Below are 24,137 nucleotides of genomic sequence, written 5' to 3' on the forward strand. Positions count from 1 at the left end.
ATTGTTTTTTAAATTTTTTTAATAGTGGTAAATAGTTTTCATATTTAGTATCTTTTTTTATATACTTTGAGGTCTGGGATACATGTGCAGAACGTGCAGGGTTTTTTTTCCTTTTTTTCTTTTTCTTTTTTTTTTTTTTTTTTGAGATGGAGTCTCGCTCTGTCACCAGGCTGGAGTGCAGTGGCATGATCATGGCTCATTGCAATCTCTGCCTCCTGGGTTCAAGCGATTCTCCTGCCTCAGCCTCCCGAGTAGCTGGGACTACAGGCACATGCTACCATGCCCAGCTAATTTTTGTATTTTTAGTAGAGACAGGGTTTCACCATGTTGGCCAGGATAGTCTCAATCTCTTGACCTCGTGATCTGCTGGCCTCAGCCTCCCAAAGTGCTGGAATTACAGGCGTCAGCCACCTTGCCTGGCCCGTGCAGGTTTGTTACACAGGTATACACGTGCCATGGTGGTTTGCTGCACCCATCAACCCGTCATCTACATTAGCCATTTCTCCTAACACCATTGCTCCCCTAGCCCCCCACCCCCTGACAGGCCCCAGTGTGTGATGTTCCCCTCCCTGTGTCTGTGTGTTCTCATTGTTCAACTCCCACTTATGAGTGGGAACATGCGGTGTTTGGTTTTCTGTTCCTGTGTTGTTTGCTGAGAATAATGGTTTCCAGCTTCATCCATAACCCTGCAAAGGACATGAACTCATTCTTTTTTTATGGCTGCACAGTATTCCATGTTGTATATGTGCCACAGTTTCTTTATCCAGTCTATCATTGATGGGCATTTAGGTTGGTTCCAAGTCTTTGCTATTGTGAATAGTGCTGCAATAAAGATAGGTGTGCATGTGTCTTTATGGTAGAATGATTTATAATCCTTTGGGTATATACCAAGTAATAGGATTGCTGGGTCTAATGGTATTTCTGGTTCTAGATCCCTGAGGAATTGCCACACTGTCTTCCACAATGGTTGAACTAGTTTACACTCCCACCAACAGTGTAAAAGCATTCCTATTTCTCCATATCCTCTCCAGCATCTGTTGTTTCCTGACTTTTTAATGATTGCCATCTAACTGGCATGAGATGGTGTCTCTTTTTGGTTTTGATTTGCATTTCTCTAACGACCAGTGATGATGAGCTTTTTTTCATGTTTGTTGGCTGCATAAATGTCTTCTTTTGAGAAGTGTCTGTTCATATCCTTCACCCACTTGTTAATGGGGTTGTTTTTTTCTTGTAAATTTGTTTAAGTTCTTTGTAGATTCTGCATATTACCCCTTTGTCAGATAGATTGCAAAATTTTCTCCCATTCTGTAGATTGCCTGTTCACTCTGATGATAGTTTCTTTTGCTGTGCAGAAGCTCTTTAGTTTAATTAGATCTTATTTGTCAATTTTGGCTTTTGTTGCCATTGCTTTTGGTGTTTTAGTCATGAAGTCTTTGCCCATGCCTATGTCCTGAATGGTATTGCCTAGGTTTTCTTCTAGGGTTTTTATGGTTTTAGGTCTTACATTTAAGTCTTTAATCCATCTTGAATTAATTTTTGTATAAGGTGTAAGGAAGGGGTCCAGTTTCAGTTTTCTGCATATATGGCTAGCCAGTTTTCCCAGCACCATTTATTAAATAGGGAATCCTTTCCCCATTGCTTGTTTTTGTCAGGTTTGTCAAAGATCAGATGGTTGTAGATGTGTGGCATTATTCCTGAGGCCTCTGTTCTGATCCATTGGTCTATATGTCTGTTTTGGTACTAGTACCATGCTGTTTTAGTTACTGTAGCCTTGTAGTATAGTTCAAAGTCAGGGAGTGTGATGCCTCCAGCTTTGTTCTTTTTGCTTAGGATTTTCATGGCTATACGGGCTCTTTTTTGGTTCCATATGAAATTTAAAGTAGTTGTTTCTAATTCTGTGAAGAAAGTCAATGGTAGTTTGATGGGGATAACATTGAATCTATAAATTATTTTGGTTAGTATGGCCATTTTCACGATATTGATCTTCCTATCCATGAGCATGGGATGTTTTTCCATTTGTTTGTGTCCTCTCTTATTTCCTTGAGCAGTGGTTTATAGTTCTCCTTGAAGAGGTCCTTCACATCCCTTGTAAGTTGTATTCCTACATATTTTATTCTCTTCGTAGTAACTGTGAATGGGACTTCACTCATGATTTGGTTCTCTGTTTGTCTATTGCTGGTGTATAGGAATGCTTGTGATTTTTGCACATTTATTTTGTATCCTGAGACTTTGCTGAAGTTGCTTAAGGAGATTTTGGGCTGAAATGATGGGGTTTTCTAAATATAGAATCGTGTCATCTGCAAACAGAGACAATTTGACTTCCTGTCTTCCTATTTGAAAGGGTATTAAAAATTAAAGGGTCCCATTTCATATTCATCGGGCAAAACAACTAAGAAAATAAAATAATACCAAGTGTTAGCAAGAATATGAAGAAAGGGAAACTCTCCTCTACTCCTGGTGAGAGTGAACATAGCTAAACACTACCTAGAGAAGTGGTTTGGTGATAGCTAGAAAAGTTGAAGATATGCATATCTTATAGTTAGGTCATTTTACCCCAGATACATGCTCTAGAAACTGTGCCACCTGTCTGTAAAGGAAAGCAGTACCAAATTGGCATCCTGAACATCCGTCAGTAGGGGAATGGACAAATAAATTGTAGTATGTTTATATTACACGATAAAGCAGTTAAAAATAAATGAACTGGAGTTCCATGAAATAACTTGTATAAATCTCAAAAACATCCTATTGAGTGAAATAAGAAAGTTGAAGAAGAATCCATACAGTTGGACAGCATTCATAAAATGGCTTAAAGTCTGAAAGCACTATCATATATATATGTAGAAAGTATATGTATGTATATGTAGAAATATTAAAACTTTCATGACTAACATCATATTCACATTACTGGTTACTCTAGGGAGGGAAGAAAGAGGAATTATATTAATAAGCAAGGAATAGATGGGGCTGAAGATTTGGTAAAGCTAGATGGTAGATACATCATTGTAGGTTCTATTTTCTCTATCTCTTTAAAACAGTTCAAAATAAAATAATTGAACTTTTCATGCACTCACTGGATTTCTGTTAAAGGGTAAGGAAGATGATATCTACCTCATGGTGATCTGGGAGCTGCCTGATGTTGTGCCTTTCCTACAAGATGGGAAACATGCTGTGCATCTGAGAATGTCTACTAGAGACAGGAACATGGCTATTCCTTTCCCAGATGTCGAGTTGATAGTTGAGAGGAACTTTTCTCAACCTACTGATGTAAGTTTCCTCTCTTGGTTTCTTTTTAACTTTTGCTTTTTGTTATGGAAATTTACAAACATATATAAAGGTACAGAAAATAATACAAAGAGCTTCTATGTGTTATCACTCAGCTTCGAGAACTTTCTGTATATGACCAAACTTACTCCTTATTTCCACCTCTTCACCACGACCACCACCAATGGATTTGTTTTTTTTTTTTTTTTTTTTTTGAGACAGGGTTCTGCTCTGTTGCCCATGCTACCAACACCTGGGCTCAAGTGACCCTCCTGCCTCAGCCCCCCAGAACGCTGGAATTACAGGCATAAGACACCGTGCCTGGCCCACCAATGGATTTTGAAGCAAATCTCAAACATTGTGTCATTTCATCCCTTTATATTTCAGTATATATCTCTAAACAATAATGACTATTTCAAAAATAATACCATTATTTTCTAAAATATATTAAAAATAATTTGTAAGAAGTTGTTAATCTCATCACATATTCATTCAGTGTTCAAATTTTCCAGATATCCTTATAATTTCTTTCTTATGGTTGGTTTCAACAACCAAGATCCAAACAAGGTTTATTTGTTGCATTTGGTTGGAAAAACCTGTTAAATATCTTTTTTTTCTCTCCTTGCAATTTATGTCCTGAAGAAACTGGACAGTTGACGCCATAGTTTTCCACTTTCTGGATTTTGCTGATTGCACCCTCATGGTGTTATTTAAGAAGTTCCGCTGTACTTCCTGCAATCTGGTAGTTAAATCTGGTGGCTTAATTGACTACAACATTGATTTTTTTTTTTCTTTAGCAAGACACCTTCATAGGTGCTGTCCTGTATTCCATCAAGATTCTCATAATGACCAGTTGTCTTTTTTTTTTTTGTATCTCAGCAGCCATTGATGATCACTACCTAGGCCTATTATTTTCATTCAAAGTCACCATACTGCCTTTCTGCTTCATTTATTACTGGAACGTGTGTAAAGAAAACCTCTCCTTTACCAAATATTTGGTTACACTGAGGTACAGTTTATATAGAAAAGCAAACTAATTGATGATTTGCTCCTTATATTTATCAATTTTAAAGTGAAGAATAGGTTTCCTAGCATCTTCCAAAGGTGGTCTGTGAATTTTGTTTACTTAATATCATTATTGACTCACAAATTTAAATGCTCTTGATGTGTTTCAGTCAATTTAATTTGCTACTATTATTATTGATGCCCAAACTGTCCCATCTGAAACTGGTTGGAGCCTCTTCAGGCTCCTGAGTTCCTCTGATGTGACCTCAGACATTCTGGATAGCTTCCAGGTATGACAAGATGATCCAGGCTCATCTTGTACATTTCTTTCCAGATCTAAAATCCACTGTTTCTCCAATATATTCTACTTCTTTTTAGTGGGAAATAGTATTTTAAAAAACCACTACCAGTAGGTTGGTTCTTATTTTTAGACTTTTTCAATAGACAGCTAAGAAAAAACATTAAGAGAAAATGCACTACTATTTTGCACTGATATTCCCAATTCAAATGTAAGGTTATATGGCTTTTACTAATTTTATTTTATTTTATATCTTTCTCTCGGAAAATTTTGATTTCTAATGATACAAGCATCATTACTTATTTGCTTTATGCTATTATTTATATAATGTATTCTTCTATATAATATACAGGTTATGTCATTTTATGTGCTATCATTGTACATTACATTATATTCTAGTTTCAGAAAACAATAAAATTACTAGGAACATGATACCTGACACAGCTCAAAATCTTCCTTTTTTTGCAGTTCTTTTTGTCCTTAGGGTATATAGCATGTGGAATGTACTGTCAAATTACTGTGCTTTAAAATTGCTTAAAATAATTCCTTGTACCACCAACTCTATATACAGTTAAGTTTGCTTCATTTTTAAAATGTATTGTGTTCTTAAAATTCAGTTTTGTTTTATTGTTGTGTAAAACATTTATATATTTCTAAGATCAAATTACAAAACAAGTTCTATTCTGAGCTACAGAACAAAGTCTATTGTATTCCTGTCCTTTCCACCTTGTTCCCTTCTTAACCTATAGTTCTTTTTGTTTTTAAGTTTTTGGTTTATGTTTCCATGCTCTTTTTAAAAAATATAATCAAATACTTGGCTCCCTCTCTACCTTCTTAAGCAAATGATAGAATATTATTTACATCCTTGTATTCCTTGCTTTATTTAATAATCTATTCTGGAGACCATTATAAGCAGTATATAGAGATCTTCACCTTTCTTTTTTTTTAAATTGTGGTAACATACACGTAAAGTAATATTTACCACTTAGACTATTTTTAGGTGCACAGTTAGGGACATTAAGTATATTCACATTGTTGCACAACCTTCATCACCATCCATCTCCAGATGCTTTCATCTTGCAAAACTGAATCTCTATTTATTAAACAATAACTCCCTATTTCCCCTTCTCTCCAGCTCCTGGCAACCAGCATTCTAATTTCCATCTCTACGAACTTACACTGAGGATCTCATATAAGCAGAAACATATGGTATTTCTCTTTTGTGACTGGTTTGTTTCACTTAGCGTGATGTCCTGAAGATTCATCTATGTGTAGCGTATGTCACAGCGTCCTTCCTTTTAAAGGCTGAACATTATTCCATTGTTTGCATAGAACACATGTTGTTTACCCATTCATCCATCAATGGATACTTGGGTTGCTTTCACTTTTTTGCTATTAATAGAATGCTGCCATGAACATGGGTGTACATGTATTTCATTTTTCTTTTTGAAAATGCTATAGTATTTCATGTGAATAGATGTACCATTGTTTATTCAACTAGTCCCCTGTAGGTGGCCATTTGGGTTGTTTTTAATCTTTTCCAATTAAAAGTAGTGCTGCAACAAATAGCCATATATATATATATATTTATATTTATATGAAAAAGACTTACGATTATTCCAAGAAGTAGTTCCTGATAACCGGAAGCCTCATCTACACCCAGCTTCCCAGAACTTAGCATTGCCATGGCAAAGAAGGCCATACACAAAATGAAAACACTAATAAGAAGCTGGAAAAAATATGTGGAACTTATATCACAAAAGGACTAATATCCATAATATATCTTCCTAATATCTAATATACAGCAAACTTTTAAAACATTAGAAGGAAAAGAACAACTTAGATAGAAAATTGACAAAAGATATGAAGAAATAGTCCAAGCATGTATTAGCAAGATGCTCCACTCACTCATTATAAGATAAATGCAAATTAAAGTATATACATATACTTTACAAAATATATATATACTTTATTTTATATATATATATAGTGGGTTTCCATTTTTTTTTTTTTTTTTTTTTTTTGAGACGGAGTCTCACTCTTTCGCCCAAGCTGGACTGCAGTGGCGCTATCCCGGCTCACTGCAAGCTCCGCCTCTTGGGTTCATGCCATTCTCCTGCCTCAGCCTCCCGAGTAGCTGGGATTACAGGCGCCCACCACCACGCCCGGCTAGTTTCCATTTTTGACAGTGTGTCTTTGGGATAGATTCCAAGAAGAGGGATTGGTTGCTGGGTCAAAAAGTAAATGCTAATACAATCATCCTAGACATTATCAAACTCCCCTTCACAGAAGTTACACAGCTCTGCACTGCCACTAATATGTGAGACTGCCTATTTCCCCACAGCCTTGCCAGCAGTGTATATTATAGTCAAAACTTTTGAACTTTTTCAAATGTAGATGAGAAATCAAAACAAGTGCCTTTATACTTGAACAAGTGAGAGCAAAATGAGAAGACTTTTAAAAAGATAAAAACCTATGAAAAGAGAAAGTTGGAATTTTATTAACTGACATTGAAAAATCTAGTTAAAATTACATGATGTAAAAATAGTGAAATAATAATTGGCCAGAAAAAAATGAACAACCATTCTATGACCTTTAATATAGCCCCAAACTTACCCTTCTTGTTAAAATATAATTTGGTATACTTTAATTTGCATTTATCTTATAATGAGTGAGTGGAGCATCTTTTTAATACACATATGGACTATTTGTTCATATTTTTTGTCAATTTTTCTATCTATGTTGTTGTTCTTTTCCTTCTAATGTTTTAAAAGTTTGTTGTATATTAGATACATTAGAAATATATATATATGTATATATAGATAATTAGGAAGATATATTATGGATATTAGTCCTTTTTGAAAAATTTCTCGGTAGCATGTGATGCTGATAGCATTTTACCCACAGTAAAATTTCTTTCAAAAATTGGTGTTAATTCTCTTAAACCCTGCCTCTGCCCAATCATCTAAGTTTAGGTAATATCCTAAGTCCTTTGTTGTCATTTCAGCAATGTTCACAGCAGATTCCATCTCAAGAAACAACTTTCTTTGCTCATCCATGAGAAGCAACTCCTCATCCATTCAAGTTTTATCGTGAGATTGCAGCAAGTTACGCTTCGCTTCTAATTCTAGTTCTCTTGCTATTTCTACATCTTCAGTCACTTTCTCCACTGAAGTCTTGAACCCTTCCAAATATCTTTGAGGGTTAGAATCCTCTTCTTCCAAATTCCTGTCCATGTTGCTATTTTGACCTCCTCCCATGAATCACAAATGTCTTAATGGCATCTAGAATAGTGAATTCTTTCTGGAAAGTTTTCAATTTACTTTGAGCAACCAGATTTATCATAGGAACCACTATCTATGGCAGCTATAGCCTTACAAAATGTATTTCTTAAATAATAAGACTTGAAGGTCAAAATTTCCCCTTGATCCACGGGCTGCAGAAGGAATACTGTATTCACCGGCATGAAAACAACATTCACGTTGTACATCTCCATCAGAGCTCCTGGGTGCATTTTCAATGAGCAGTAATATTTTGAAAGGAATCTTTTTTTTTTCTGAGTAAAGTAGCTGTATATGTTGAATTCAACAACTTAATTTAACATCTCTTCAGAAAGCTATTTTTGTGATATGCTTACACCTCCTCAACAAGGCAGGCGCATGTGTGCATGTCTGAGGGATGAAGTGTTTGGGGCATATGTTTGAGGCTGAAGAATAGAGAATAAGAAAACTGTACCTTTTTGTTCCCATAAAAATTTAAACCAATTGTTTTTTTAACGAGGATCTTCACTAACTTTTTTGATTTACTCTAATATTATAGTACTCTAATCAAACCTTTTGCACTTTTCAGCTTTTAGAGAGATAAGTGGTCAGACACTAAAGAATGGAAGAAAACTGCAAGTTACAGCAGGAGCAATTGAGAAAAGTCTTCAGTTTTTTTCTCCCTGACATTAGCAAAACAACCATAATATAATTTATTTCCTTTTTTATTATTATTAACCATAAAGCTTCCTTGCAAAAAAAAAAAAATAGAATAATAATATAGCTGGTTTATGGAATTTGGAAACAATTATTTTGTCATAGAACGGAAACATACTGTATTAGTTTTCCTCATATTGAAACAAATGTCAGTTTGGAACTGCAATTTGAATGTCATTCATTGCTAGTTTAAATGATAAGTAGGTTTTATTCTTAGCTAAAAGCCCTTTAAAATCAATATACACAGTGACTATGTCATAATAACGTTATCATGTAATATGCACAAAAGACAGAACAAAATGCATGTCCTCGTAGACCAATTCTAGCCTACTTCCCTTTTCAACTCTACATATAATTGGAAACACTAGGTTCAATTATATGTATTTGATATATGAAATCTTATTTATAGCTAATAAAAACAGAAAGAAGATGACTGCACAGTGAGTCAGAACCAGGCAGTTAACAAATAATTGTGTAGGTACCAAAAAATGATTGCTTAAAAAAAAAAGAAAAACTATGGTGATAAATTATAAACTATTGAAACACAATAAAGTGCCTTGTAGGCTTTTAATGTAAATGTAAATTATCTCCAATTTTGAATCTTTATTTTTTGTAGTTATCATAATTATCATTATAGCACTTCCTTTTTGCAACAGACTTTAAAATTATAGATTGAAAGTTTGCAAAAGTCGGCCAGGCACAGTGGCTCACACCTGTAATCCCGGCACTTTGGGAGGCCAAGGCGGGCAGATAACTTGAGGTCAGGAGTTCCAGACCAGCCTGGCCAGCGAAACCTCATCCTTAATAAAAATACAAAAGTTAGCCAGGTATGGTGGCGTACGCCTGTAATCCTAGCTACGGGGGAGGCTGAGGCATGAGAATCACTTGAACCTGGAAGGTGGAGGATGCAGTGAGCTGAGATCATGCCATTGCACTCCAGCCTTGGCAACAGAGCAAGACTCAGTCTCAAAGAAAAGTTTGCAAAAGTCAATTAGGAAAAAAATTTGATTGTGCATGGAAATCCTCTCCCTAAAACTCTTTTATTTAGAAGCACTTTTTATTGAATACCTGCCACCGTATCATGCACTGTTCTTAGCACTGGGAATGTCAAGATTAATGAGGTATAGTACCTGCACTGTAGAAGTACAGCAGAGATCCTGGAGGGCTGGGGAGACGGGGAGGTTTTTGAAGAGGATAATTGCTGAATTATAGCTAAAGAACTATCAGGAGTTAGCTTGGCTCAGATAGGCAGTTTCTAGAGGATAGTGAAAAGACAGTGAATCTCAAGTGGAAGAGGTAATGTGAACGAAATAATGGAGGTAAAATATTGCATGGTTTGTGAAGGATAACTACAAGTATCTCAGTGTGGCTGGAGTAATACTGGGAGTAGTTAAAAATGAAGACAAACAAATAGGTAGGGACCAGACCATGCTTACAAGAATAAGGAGCTTGAGCATCCTATAACAAATGGAAGGCCATGGAAGGGCTTTAAATGAGAAATGACACGATCAGATTTGTGCTGTGGGCAGCTCATCTTTGATGCTGCCTGGATGACAGATTTGACAGGGACAGGACTAAAGGCAGAAGATTCAGGCAACAGGCTACTTCCTGTTTTAGTTAAAAGATATAAGGATGACCAGGCTCAGTGGCTCACACCTGTAATCTCAGCATTTTGGGAGGCCAAGGTGAGAGGATCACTTGAGGCCAGGAGTTCGAGGCCAGCCTGGGCAACATAGGCCCCATCTCTACAAAAAAATTTTTAAAAATTTAAAAAAATTATTTGGGTGCAGCGGCGTGCACCTTCAGTCAAGCTATTTGGGAGGCTGTGGTGGGAGGAGTGCTTGAGCCCAGGAGTTCGAGGTTGTAGTGAGCTATGATTGCACCACTGCAGACCAGCTTGAGTGACAGATCAAGATTCTGTCTCTAAAGAAATTTACAATGATAAAATAATAAAAGATATAAGGTCATGACAATGGAGATGGTGCAGAAGAAAATGTTCTGGTTTCAGAAAATATCTAGGCAGTAAAAGTAGCATAACTTGCAATTACACCATGCAGTTGGGAGAGGAGGGCACTGAAAGAAAGGAAGGAAAGAAGGACAGTTCCAGGATTTCTAACTTGAATGATGAACTGAAAAATAGCGCTAACCAATGAAATAAAGAATAGAGGACTGGGCACTATGGCTCATGCCTATAATCCCAGAACTTTGGGAGGCTGAAGTAGGTGGATTACTTGAGCTCAGGAATTTGAGACCAGCCTGGCAACATAGTGAGACCTTGTCTCTACAAAAAAAATCAAAACATTAGCCAGGCATGGTAGCACCCACCTGTGGTCCCAGCTACTCCAGAGCCCAAGGTGGGAGGATCGCTTGAGCCCAGGAAGTCGAGGCTGCAGTAAGCTGTGATCATTCCACTGTACTCCAGTCTGGGCAACAGAGGGAGATCTGTCTCTGAAAAAAAAAAAAGAATAGAGCAAAGAAACATGCCTAAAGGAGGTGATAAGTTACATATATTAACATTGAGATACCTGTAAAATGTCTAAGTAATTAAATATATAAGCCTGAAGCTTGTAGGAGAGGACTGGACTAGATAATTAGGTCACTAGCATTGAGATATTTGAAACATAATCTGAGATTCCTCAGAAACAGTTGAAAAAAAATGTATTTGAGATAAACCCCAAAAATATTAATATTTAAAAGACTGGCAGAGCAAGAGGGTACCAAGTAGGAAACAGAAAAAGAAAAGTCGCAGAGACACAGCAAAACCAGCAAAGCCTGGAGTCAAGGACGTCAGGAGAGTAAGGAGTTTCAGGAAGGGGAGAGCAACTGAGAGTGGTAATTGACAGTGGTAATAGACCTCTCCTCTTATTTAAATGTCACTCTTCTATGATCCTGTCAAGTTACATGCGTGCCTCCCTCCGATACAGCACTTTCACATTGCACTGTAATCAACACTTTGAGTACTTTAAAGTATTATGTTTCTCCAGATCACAGATGTCCTACTTGACTTTGTATTCCAAATATCTAACATAGTAGATATCTAACAAATATTTGAGGCAAGACAATTGAAAAAGATCTTAATGATAAATAGCTATCACAGGGTGTTATGAAGCAGAAGCCAATGAAATTTGCTGAGTGAAAGAAAAGTTGGTAAGTGGAAACGACGAACGTAGAATATTCTTTCAACAAGTTTGAAGGGAAGAGGAAGACGGGAAGAAAGTTGGGAAGAAAGAATAAATAAGGCTGAGAAAAAGCAGCCAGTAAACAGGAAGAGTATATATTTGTTGATCTAATGAATTCTGCCAGTTAAAAATTTTAGTGCAAGAAAAATAAGATTTTACTAAATTTCATGCTCTGATATTAAAAATATATATAATAAGGCATTTTGTTTTAAGTTGATGACAATTACAAAGTGTACACATGGCGTTTGCACCGCGAATCATGAATACTATATTTATGGTGTTCTGTTTCCTTCGTTCTTCAGAATCCCACCATGGATTTATTACGAGTGAACTGCATTGATTTACTACAAGTAGAAGGATATAATTTGATAGCAGCTGGAACCTTAAATGGTGTGATCATCTTATGGAATTTTGTGACGTCTACTGTCAAAAAAGTGTAAGTTGTGTATTATCCTTAAACAATGTAAAAGCTTTACTGCAGAAGGGCTCAGTAGCATGCAACACTCAGGGAAGGGCTGGGCGCGGTGGCTCAGGTCTGTAAACCCAGAACTTTGGGAGGAGGATCACTTAAGGCCAGGAGTTCGAGATCAGCCTTACCAACATGGTGAAACCCTGTCTCTACTAAAAATACAAAAAGTAGCAGGGCGCAGTGGCGCCTGCCTGTAATCCTATCTAATGGAGAGGGTGAGGCATGAGAATTGCTTGAACCTGGGAGGTGGAGGTAGCAGTGAGCTGAGATCACACCACCGCACTACATCCTGGGTGACAGAGTGAGTGAAACTCAGTATAAAAAAAAAAAAAAAAACCTCAGGGGACAAAAAAGCAATACATAAAAATGGTGATAACTTTCAAGGCAGGCGTTCCTGGAAGTTATATTCATGAATGGACTGTGTTCTAAGTGTCTAAATCCCAGGATGATATAAGTAAGGTGAACTGTAAGCATCTATATTCCCAAGAGCTTTGATCTTTACTATTCTCAACTAGTATATGCTTTTCATGTGTGATCTTGCCCAAATTTATGACCTCAACAAATAATTAAAATACATAACAACTTCAAACTAATCTCTCTAGAGCTTCAAACACACATAACCAATTGCCTATTGGCAATTTTCATCTGATTGTTACCAAGACCCTCAAAGCCCTACATGCCTGAAACATCTTCCCAACCTACTCCCCGCTCCCAAACTTCTCCCCTTCCTGTATCCCCAGTGCCACCACCATCTACTCAGCCACCAAAGTCACATGGTGAGAAGACTCCTGGGTAGCATATCCTTCTCATTCACCACCTCAACACGTCTGATTTATTACAGATTGGGGCTAACAAGGGCCAATGTTGTAGATGCAATTATTCCTCTCAACCAATTAGATTTACCCTGGACTATGGCCAAGATCTTACCCTCCCCATACCATCCACTTCTCAATGTTTTTTTTTTTTTGCATTTGTTGAGAAGGAACTAAAGTAACACTGAATGATTTGTTTGGATGGATTGTAAGTAATAAGTTCTCCCCAGCTGTGTAATTGGAACGTGTGCAAGGGCCATGTGTGGCCACCCTATGGCAAGGGGGTTTGGAAAATTTTACTTACAGATACAAGATGGCCAAGAACCTTAATAATAAATGAAAATAAAATCAAGTTTATCTAAGCATTTGGGGGACGGGAAGAGATATAAAAGAGGAGAGAAGGGAGAATTGGAAAGGACAGGAGAAAAGGAGAGGAAAATACAAAAGAAATGTCTGCCTCTCTCTTTACACTTCTTAACATACTGCTGGTCTGCCTGCTCCTTCCCATCCAAGCCTGAGTCATTTCTTTTAGCCAGTTTTTGAAAGGAAATAATCATTTATTGCTTGGACTATGGATTTCTTCTCTTTGAACCTTTAATTGAAATAGCTGTTTCTGCAGACCCCCCTTTCTGCACCTCAGTCCACATACTCCTGGATCCTGCCCCTGGAATTCCTGTCATCCTTCTGTTCCTTCACTTCAGCCCATGCCCCCAGCCTTTTCTCACACATTGTCTACCTGCCACTTGATACCTACACCTGTCTGCACTGCAAACTTCCCCTCCTTCTTGCTAATGCTTTCACGCTGTGTCAGCTTGTGTATGACTCTTTCCTAAGAAGGGAAATCAGATAGACTAAGAAGACCATTATCTTGATGCCACAGCCTAAAGAGGGGGGCAACACCCGTGATAATAATCCCACTTTAAAGGTGAAGATCCTCCTTGTTAAAGTGCCTTGTTATTTTGCCAAGGGATGCATGCATATCCAACATCCAATCAGAGGAAAACAACCAAGTATAGTGTGGGTCATACACAGTGTCCCTTTCCTATAGGCAGATGATTATATAAGACAATTGATTTATAATCAGTGCAGTATTTTGCAAAACATATGATTTAGCACAGATCTGTGGAAGGTCATTTAGGCCCAGGTTTAAAAGTTCTGAAACTGAAAATGGTTTCCATATTTGCAGTAGAGTCCATCTCTTTGTCTACCACAAACTTCACCTAAGACCCCTTCACCAGTCAGAGGAAATAACTCTTCTCTTCCCACTCTAAGCCTCAGGCTTTTTGAGCCCAGACTTAATATTATTCTTGCTAATTAATAATCCACTTCATGATTCAGCTCATCTGCACAACAGAAATCTCTTAAAAAATTTGAGTTCAACAAGTCATCAAGCTTGTAGACTTCTCTTTTGAGCTTGGGTTCACTTTCCAGGAGGCCCCTTCATCTCTTGCAGAAGTAATTTCCACTGAAGAAACAGGGGAAATTTTGCTGTAAGGTCTATTTGCTATAATGAATGTTAAATGCAGCTTTAAGAGCCAGGCATGATGTTTCAGTGCAGGCATTTAGGGACTATTCCCCTGTTCCTAGGATGGTGCCTACAAAGTTCAGTGTTGACCTTGGAATCTGGGTCAACAGGAGACTGGAGCAGCAAGAGCAGGGTCCTCACTGGACTACCTGTTCTTCTCCACTCCATTATAAGCTCTTTAAGGGTAATAATATTTTATTCAAATTTATTACTCCACTTATTTAAAAAATATTAGAACTCTATTATTTAAACTGTATGAAACCAGCCCGGCGTGGTGGCTCCCATCAGTAATCCCAGCACTTTGGGAGGCTGAGGCAGGAGGATCGCTTGAGCCCAGGAGTTCAAGACCAGTCTGGGCAACATAGTTGGCCCCCATCTCTAAAAGTAAAATAAAATAGAGTTTTTTCCATAGGATTTTGTAGAAGTCCATTCTCTGATCTAAAGGTAGGAAGATTAGACAGGTTAGTTGAATTAAAAGACTTTTAAACCGTTGAGGATCATGATTTAACAGAACCTTGCTAAAAAAGCTATGTTCAAACTCTACTTCCTTGCATTTTCTTTTCATGTTCAATAATATTAGCATTTGAGGAATTGCCTAGCTCTGCAGAGGATATACAATCTTAGTACTGTAAGCTCCATAATTTGTGAATTTTTTCTCATATAAATGTATACTTACTTCTAGGTACCGACCTGAAGATTGCTTCACTGTAAACCCTGACTTGCATCCCAAGCACTTTAAAATTAATGACATACTGTTCCTCTTTCGTACCCCTGAATGTGCAAGGTAACTCGTTACTTACTGAACCAGTAATACTGTCTGGGACTTAGGTGGCTGATACATTAGGTTGATGCAAAATTAATTGTGGTTTTTGCCATTGAAAGTAATAGAAAGAGTTTACTTCATCCCAGCATTAAAGAAGGGACCACTGAAAAAAGACATCAGTTGGGTTGACACGTGGCTTCCGCTTTCTTCCCATAACTGTCATTTTGGAGGTGAGGTTCTCCTCAGGGATTTAAAGTGCTGTGTGGTCCCCTCACCATGTCAGCCTCACAGCACCCTTTATCACATAGCAGAGATGGAAAATGATCACTTGGCTTTACTTTTCGCCAAAATCTGACACAGGTGTGAAACAGAAGGAAGGACTTGCAAGGCAAGTATGGAAGGTCATATGGCAGGAGGTTTCATCCACCATCCACTATAACTGAGCAATTGTCATCCATTTCTGAAAGAGCAAGGGATTTAAGAAAAAATCCCTTTTTTCCTATTTATATTTGCATAAGAGCTCTGGTTTGCAGGCAATAGATAATGCCACACATAGCTTTGGAGAGAAATCAGAAGCTTCTGTGCTGGTTTGGGGTCACCCAGAGGTGAGCCAGAATGTAACCCCTTCCCTACCCCTTGGCATGAAATTTCATCAAAACTGTTCTGAGAATATTTTGAGGACTTATTCTGTAGACATCTGCACCAGACCTTAAGCCACTTTTCAGCCGGTTTCAGTGGAGTGCCACAGACTAGGATCTGGTGAGAACTAGACATTGTCAAGCAGGAAGTTAGACAGGCTTGTAAGGTCCCCCCACCACCACCCCACCCCTTGCCATTTCAGTGTAAGAGCCTCTGGGACTAAATCTAGCCTTTGCAGTGGGATAGGCAAGACTTTTATTTTCTGACAAAGGGAGCAATAAACCTTATTTGCTGAGGCTCCCCAAGAGTCTCCACCAATATCATACTGGTCAACATTTATTACACAGAATATAAGGCATGATTTGTTTCCTGAGTGGCTCAGTATCCACAGATGATGAAAGAAGCAATCAGCTGAAATTAAAGCAGAGAAGCACACCCTTTGAGTATGGTAGCATATCTTAAAGTTTTACCTGTGGGCTTCCCCACTCCCCTTATAGGAGATCAAGTCAGGATTCCATATGTTCTTCATCCCAGTGTGAATCCAGCAAAGGTCCACAGAGCAGTAAGGTAAGCAAGACACAGACAGGGTCTGTCTTCCTGTCATACTCAATGTTGGTTCAAAAATAGTGCTATTGAGCACATTTGAGCCCCTCCTTTGATAGAAGGTAACAGTGGAAGAATTCTGTGTGTGCATGCTTATATGTAAAAACGCATTGTTTTGCAAAAAATGCAATGTCTAAATTGTTTTTTCAATTTTATATATTTTTCAATTTTTATATATTTTTTCAAAGTTTTTGCATTTGTGAATAATCAATATACAATCACAAATAAAATAAATTATGCATGTTATTTTGATACTTAAAAAGTAAGTAATTTTAGACCATCTCTTTTGCTAAAATGTAAGTACTCTTTTGCTAAAAAGTACATATGTCACAGGGAGAAGAGACAGCAGGTACTGTAATGCAGTGGTTTTCAAACTGTTCTCAGTTCCAATTTTATATATTTTTATGCTTTACATTTCTAGTTAGAACTGTGTTTGAAGGAAAGTTGTCACTGCAAAAATTGTTTTTAAATCACCAGCATACTGGAAAGAATAAACTTACATGGAAGCAAAAGCCAGACAGATTGTACTTGAACCCAAGTCCTTCTTTTATTATCTGATTAGCTTTAGAGCTGCCACTTAATCTGAGTTTCTGTTTCTGTTTCAGTAAAAAGGGAATAATAAAGATGAAGTTGCATGGTTGTGAATACAATTAGAGATCATGTCAACCAGGAACCGAGCATGCATCAGGCATTTTTAATTACTCTCGTTATTATGCTGGTACCTCAACTGCTAGAAGAATGTTGTGTTATAAATTCTCTATTTCTGGACATGAAAATCTCTGCAATACATTTTTTTCAAAAAAAAATTAAAGTATAATTTTAAAAGTAATGCTTAGAAATGAAAATTCAACTATCTGGAGAATTTAATCACCCAGTATATCTCATTTTCTTACAATGTCATGGAAGTCTTTTCTCTTTTCCTCCCATAATTCAGGGAAGCAAGCAAAGCATACATGACAGTGAGGTTAAAGGTCAGTATGAAATCACCTCTCTTCTTTATAATAAAGCAACTCCTTTGCAAGAGGGCATTTAGGTGACAGAGTATTCTTAATGAATATATATATTCCTTAATATATAAATTCATTATATATATTCATATACATTCATATATATTCATTATATACGTATATATAATATACACACACATACCCACACACATATACATATATACATACATACACACATATACATATATACATACATATACATACATACATACATATATATATATATATATATATATATATATATATATATATATATTCTTTTTGGAACCAAACATTGAGGTGCTATGGGATTCAGTAGTCTAAATGGCAGAATTTTCATTATGATGATGCCTTCTTAAATACTAATTCTAGGTTTTAAGAATCCAGAATATTACTGAACTTCTTAGTCTCTAGCCATTTTTCTAAAACTTATACTGCATTTATACACCATTCTGTATGTATAAGATTTATGAATAAATACCTTGTGTGAGCTGTTATGTATAGTATAGAAGCTTTTGCAATATGATCAAAATAAACGTTTTATATTTTTTCAGTGATCCAGGATTCAATTTTTTAATGTTTTTTCTGTCCTTTGCCCTGACTGAAATTCTCTGGGTGAAAAAAAAAAAAAAGAAAAGGAAAAAATAATGTGTGGCTTTTGCTATTTTCTTGTCTGCCTTGTGTTTTACATTCCATAAAAATTTGGAATTCCAAGTATTGCAAATTCCAAGATAGATCCTTTTTTTTTTTTTTTTTTTTTTTTTTTTTGAGACAGAGTTTCACTCTGTCCCCCAGGCTGGAGTGTAGTAGTGCCATCTCAGCTCACTGCAACCTCTGCCTCCTGGGTTCAAGCAATTCTCCTGCCTCAGCCTCCCAAGTAGCTGGGATTACAGGCGCCCACCACCACACCTGGCTAATTTTTGTATTTTTAGTAGAGACGGGGTTTCACCATGTTGGCCAGGCTGATCTGGAACTCCTGACCTCAAGTGATCCACCTGCCTTGGCCTCCCAAAGTGCTGGGATTACAGGTGTGAGCCACCACGCCTGGCCTCATGATAGTTCATTAATTTCTCGAATAGGTGAACAAACAGATGTAATGGTGGGAAAGCAACAGCCAATGGACAAAAAACACCCTGGAATTGCCAATTTACCAGAAGCCCAGCCACCTATCCTTGTCACTGCTCATGAGGATGGACACCTCCGCTTGTGGACTCTGGAGGTAATGGAACCCAGCAAGTCTGGGAATAGGAAAGAATGGGAAAGATAAAAAGAATCATTAAATGAATCTTAGTGTTCTTCCATATGGCATCCAATTATAATATTTTTTCAACTTTCTAGCCAAATTGCTGATCTTGCAGCCTGTTTATTGATAACGCTATCCAAACTTTACGAGAGAAGGGTTTTGTAATTCAAAAGATCAAATCATCAAAACTGCTAACTTAGCTATTTCAAATATGTCTCTCTTTTTGGAAGCTCTTCTACTTTTCTATCAAACACATTACAGACAGATACCCATACTGGGATAGATACCTGCATACAGATAGATACCCGTATTGAGAAAAGAATGTTCAACTGGTCATGCAAGCCTCACAGTTGGAATTTCTGGGAAGGTCTTCACCTTTGGCACACTGCTTCAGTCTCATCCCTTATGTCCCTAATAGAAGCAGGAAAGGTGAATCCGGCATGAAGATTTACTAGAAAAATCTATTGAGCCTGCTTATAATTCTTTTATTTGGGGAGAGGAGGGCATTAGTTGTTTGTTTGTTTGTTTTTTTAAGATGGAGTCTCTCTCTGTCACCCAGGCTGGAGTGCAGTGGCGTGATCTCAGCTCACCGCAACCTCCACCCCTCGGTTCAAGCGATTCTTCTGCCTCGGCCTTCGAGTAGCTGAGGCTATAGGCGTGTGCCAGCACACCCAGCTAATTTTTGTATTTTTAGTAGAGACGGGGTTTCACCATGTTGGCCAGGCTGGTCTCAAACTCCTGACCTCGTGATCCGCCAGCCTCGGCCTCCCAAAGTGCTGCGATTACAGGCGTGAGCCACTGTGCCCGACCGAGGGCATTAGTTTTGATGGGTTCATACATTCAAAATATTCAAATCTTTCTTTTAAATTGAGCTACAAATATATGCCACTAAATATCTTACTGGATATTTAAATAATATTAAAGGATATTAATGGTGTATTAGAGTAAAAGAATGTGAGAACACTGAAATGTTGAGTATACAATAAATTGTTAGTTTACCAAACAGTTGAAAGAAGGTATTGCATCGTATTGAGTGTTCTTCAATATTTCACAAAGAAAAACACAACTTTCATTTACCAGAAGATTTAAAATGATTTAGGGTGGAATTAAGAGGACAGAAGATGATGAAAGGAAGGATCTTGAGTAGCCTGAGGGTGAAGAAAATGAAATCCTTAGAAAAACAGAGGAGGTGACCTCGCTTGTGATAAGGCTCCTTCCTACACAGAAACTCAGAACACAAAACAGTTTTGTGTGGCAGATAATGGGATCCAACAACACGGAACCGCATGGCTTTCTGCCAGATAAAACTCTAAGTGTACCAGTAGATCCTAGCTTATTCGTGAAAACAACCCTGGTTTGAAAATACAAAGTATTCTAATAATAACTTTCCTTGAGATAATCTTGGTATTAGAACAATGCCCTTTTTCTTTCTAATACAGAAATGAAAGAGTAAAAGAAATAGGAGGAGAAGAGATTATGTCCAAGCAGTCTAAGGAAAGGAGTAGCAAATTCAAACTCTTCACAAGCTTTGATGTTGATGATGTTTATTCTCTAAGCAAGATAATACGTGTTAAAGTCTTTCCCAGTGCTGGCTTATACTGAGCGCTGAAAAACAACCTGTTTGAATTTAAATCTCTTAACAATTCTTTGTCTTGCACCAGTATTAAAAAATAAATATTTCTGAAGAGGCAAATATTTCTGTTTAAAACAACTGACATACACTTAAAAGTGTGTCTCCCTTCTGAAAAAAATGTTTGTTTAAAAAGAAAATATGTCAATGCCTGTTTGAGTTAAATTAAAAAAAAGAAATAAAAAGAAAATATGTAATCGGAAAGAAAGTCTGAGGAATTGCATGAAAAGGGTCATGGGATATGCAAAAACAATCCCAAGTGTAGAACAGTATATAATACTCAAGAGTCTAGATGCTTCTAATTAACAGTTGTCCATACCTTTAGTATATTTAATTTCAAGGAAATAAGTCCCTATGGATAGTTTAAAATTATTTTCATTACAAACAGGGGAATCGTGGTTCAGTAGTAGAGATAATTCTTGAGATGCATTATTTACATAGAAAAATCAATTTCAATATTAAGATTTTATAAGACTTACTAGCAAAGAAAAAGTTTTATTTGCATTATACTTTATTTAGGGAAGACTACTGAAAGATATGCTACCTTTCACAAAACATTCTGCCATTTCTCTGACATCGCTGTATACTGATTCATGTACGAGGATACTACTGGCTGGAAATGTGGGTGAGTCATTACTCTTAGACATTCAGTGACAGGTGTCTTAATAGCTTACCTGATATAAAAATGGCTTTAGGAAAAATACATGGTATATGGTGAAACAAAAGAGAGACTAAGAGGTATGCTCAAGCCTGAGAAAGTGTTATAAATAGCCTGCTGAATAAACAGAATAAATGAGTGTCAGGAGAACCTGCTTCATTCCTAGCTCTTCACTTAGGGCAAGGCATTGCCCTCCTTCTGTCTTTAAAATGTGTATGTGTCTACCCATCTGTGTATCTTACTTTTTTGGAAAAAATATAGTTTTAATTTTTCACATTGAAAGTGTATGTTGCATTAATCTTAATTATTAAAGGAAATCATGCCATAAATTAGAGAAAAAAAATGAATGATTTTTTCTCAGTAGGGGACTTTATTTTTTATATTTATTATAATTAATATGGTCAGTCTTTCTAACAAAATTCTTTCTTCCATTCTTCCTTTATGCTTCTCTTCTGTCGTCTGAATTAATCCTAAATTTTCTTTGCTTTCCTTTCTCCTATACTTTGAAAGATTATGTGTGTATGTGAATGCACATGCATGTGTAAAAAGTTTTATTTTACTAGTGTTTATCTTCAAGTTTGTCAAAACAATTAGTTAGAATTAGAATAAAACAGCATATTTTCAGTTAAAACAAAAAGCTTAGCCCCCTTTCACTTTCTCTTTTCTCCATATCTACCCCTTTGCTTGTTGTTGTTTTGCTAATGCAACTGTAAGATTTGCATCTAGATTAAATCTGCTTAAATGCTTACATTTCAAATTTACTTAATTTTCATACTTAAGTTTTCATATTCTCTTTTATAAACATTTTTCTCATTTCAAAATTTGTTTTAATTTTTTTTTCTTTTTTAAATTTGAGACAGAGTCTATCCCTGTTGCCCAGGCTGGAGTGCAGTAGTGCAATCCTGGCTCACTGCAACCTCTGCCTCCTAGGTTCAAGCAATTCTTCTGCCTCAGCCTCCCGAGTAGCTGGGACTACAGGCATGCACCACCACGCCCAGCTAATTTTTGTATTTTTAGTAGAGATGGGGTTTTGCTATGTTGGCCAGGCTGGTCTTGAACTCCTGACCTCGTGTGATCTGCCCACCTCAGCTTCCCAAAGCACTGGGATTACAGGCATGAGCCACCATGCCCAGCCTCAAAATTTATTTTATAAAAAAGTTACAACAAACCATTTCGTACTGTCAATTGAGTCGTCTGGACCTTATTGATAATAATTGTCTATATTTGTATATAGCATTATAAATAAATTTACATTTATTTAAGGTTATCCCTGTTTTTCCTGGAGTTTTTTGGGTTTTGTTTGTTTTTTGCTTACCACCAATCCTTTTACATTAGGATATTCTTATACTTCTGATTTTCGCTTATCTATCAATCTGTATAATTTATATAGACACTAATTCTTTTTACAGAAAACTTGTAGAGAAAGTTAAGATCAGTCAAATTTTGTTGCTTTCTAAAAATAGCCTGCTTATTCTTGCATTAACTTTGCCTAGTATGTGGCAAGCCTTTTCTGACAAATACAGAGAACTAAAATTTGAAACTATAGAATTCCCAGCACCGACCTCTATTAGGGTTAGTCCTCTCTTTGCCTATGCCTAGAATACTTTACTATCATATAGCCCATTCTCATCCTGAAATTTGTGGTTTCTGTTTGTGATCCAGAAAATAGAGTGGGTTTGGGATCCAATCTATCCTCATCTACATTATAACTAAAGTGGACTGCTCCTAGATTCTATTAGGCTTCCTTTTTCTCTGCCTCAGTAGATGTTAAAAGAACTTCTTTGAGGGCTGCTATCTATTCACTAGATTAAATCAGACACCCTCAGGCATCATTACATCATTAGTTGTTGCCTTTAGAAAGAAAGAAGAGAGACAAGGTCTGACTCTGTGGCCCAGGCTGGAGTGCAGTGGTGTGCTCATAGCTCACTGTAATCTCCAACTCCTGCAAGTGATCCTTCCACCTCAGCCTCCTGAGTAGCTAAGACTACAGGTGTATGCTTTTTTTTTCCTGTAGAGACAGGTCTTACTTCTTTTTCTATTTTCCTAAAGTAGAAGCTTAGATTGTTGATTTTAGATCTTTCTTCCTTTCTAATGTATGCATTGAATGCTATAAGTTTCCATGTGAGCAATGCTCTCGCTGCATACCACAAATTTTGATAAGTTGTAATTTCACCTTTTTTTTTTTTTTAATTAAAACAGAGTCTCGCTCTATTGCTCAGGTTGGAGTGCAGTGGCACAATCTCAGCTCACCCCAATCTTCGCCTCCCAGGTTCAAGCAATTTTCCCACCTCAGCCTCCCAAGTAGCTGGGATTACAGGCACCTGACACCACGGCCAGCTAATTTTTGTATTTTTACTAGAGGCAGGGTTTCACCATGTTGGCCAGGCTGGTTTCGAACTCCTGACCTCAGGTGATCCACCCACCTCAGCCTCCCAACATGCTGGGATTACAGGAATGAGCCACCATGCTTGGCCTCACCTTTATTTAATACAAAATACTTTTAAATTTCCCTTGAGATTTATTCTTTGACCCAAAGAATTTATAAATATTCTACCTAATCTCCAAGTACTTGGGGATTTTCCAGTTGTCTTTCTGTTACTGGTTTCTACTTTAATTCCATTGTGGTCTGAAAACATACATTGTATGATGTCTCTTAAAGTTGTTCAGGTGCGTTCTGTGGCCCAGAACATGATCTATCTTGGGGAATGTCTACATGATCTTCAGAGGAATGTGTGTTCTGAATGTGTGTGTATGAAGTAATCTATAGATGTGAATTATATTCAGTTTATTGATGGTGCCATTGATCTGAACTATATCCTTAATGATTTTCTGCCTGCTTGGTCTGCCCATTTTTCATAGAGGGGTGTTGAAGTCTATAACTATAATAATGGATTCATCTATTTCAACTTGCTGTCCTATAAGTATTTTGATATCTGTTATTAGGGACATACACATTAAGGATGGTCAAATCTTCTTGGAGAATTGACCCTTTTATCATTAGGTAATGCCCTCTGTTTATCCCTGATAAGTTTTATCACTCTGAAGTCTGCTCTGTCTGAAATTAATACAGCTACACTTGCTTTCTTTTG

The 24,137-nt window shown here is 37.0% G+C and overlaps 1 protein-coding gene across 7 annotated transcripts in view; it reads left to right on the top strand.

Moving 5' to 3' along the window:
- Positions 1 to 24,137, top strand: part of WDR64 (WD repeat domain 64) — a 150,497-nt gene that overhangs the window by 101,915 nt on the left and 24,445 nt on the right. For 5 of the 7 annotated variants that reach the window (NM_001367482.1, XM_011544087.3, XM_017000315.2 and 2 more), the window contains 7 exons: positions 3,088 to 3,264; positions 12,023 to 12,156; positions 15,209 to 15,310; positions 16,426 to 16,495; positions 17,466 to 17,502; positions 18,597 to 18,736; positions 20,910 to 21,015. In NM_001367482.1, the coding sequence (NP_001354411.1) occupies positions 3,088 to 3,264; positions 12,023 to 12,156; positions 15,209 to 15,310; positions 16,426 to 16,495; positions 17,466 to 17,502; positions 18,597 to 18,736; positions 20,910 to 21,015 (766 nt within the window). Of the gene's footprint in view, positions 1 to 3,087; positions 3,265 to 12,022; positions 12,157 to 15,208; positions 15,311 to 16,425; positions 16,496 to 17,136; positions 17,253 to 17,465; positions 17,503 to 18,596; positions 18,737 to 20,909; positions 21,016 to 24,137 lie in introns of those variants that run through there. The other 2 variants (XM_011544091.2, XM_011544092.3) reach the window with 2 other exon arrangements.

This window comes from Homo sapiens, chromosome 1 (genome assembly GCF_000001405.40).
Source record: "Homo sapiens chromosome 1, GRCh38.p14 Primary Assembly".
NCBI classification, from domain to species: domain Eukaryota; kingdom Metazoa; phylum Chordata; class Mammalia; order Primates; family Hominidae; genus Homo; species Homo sapiens.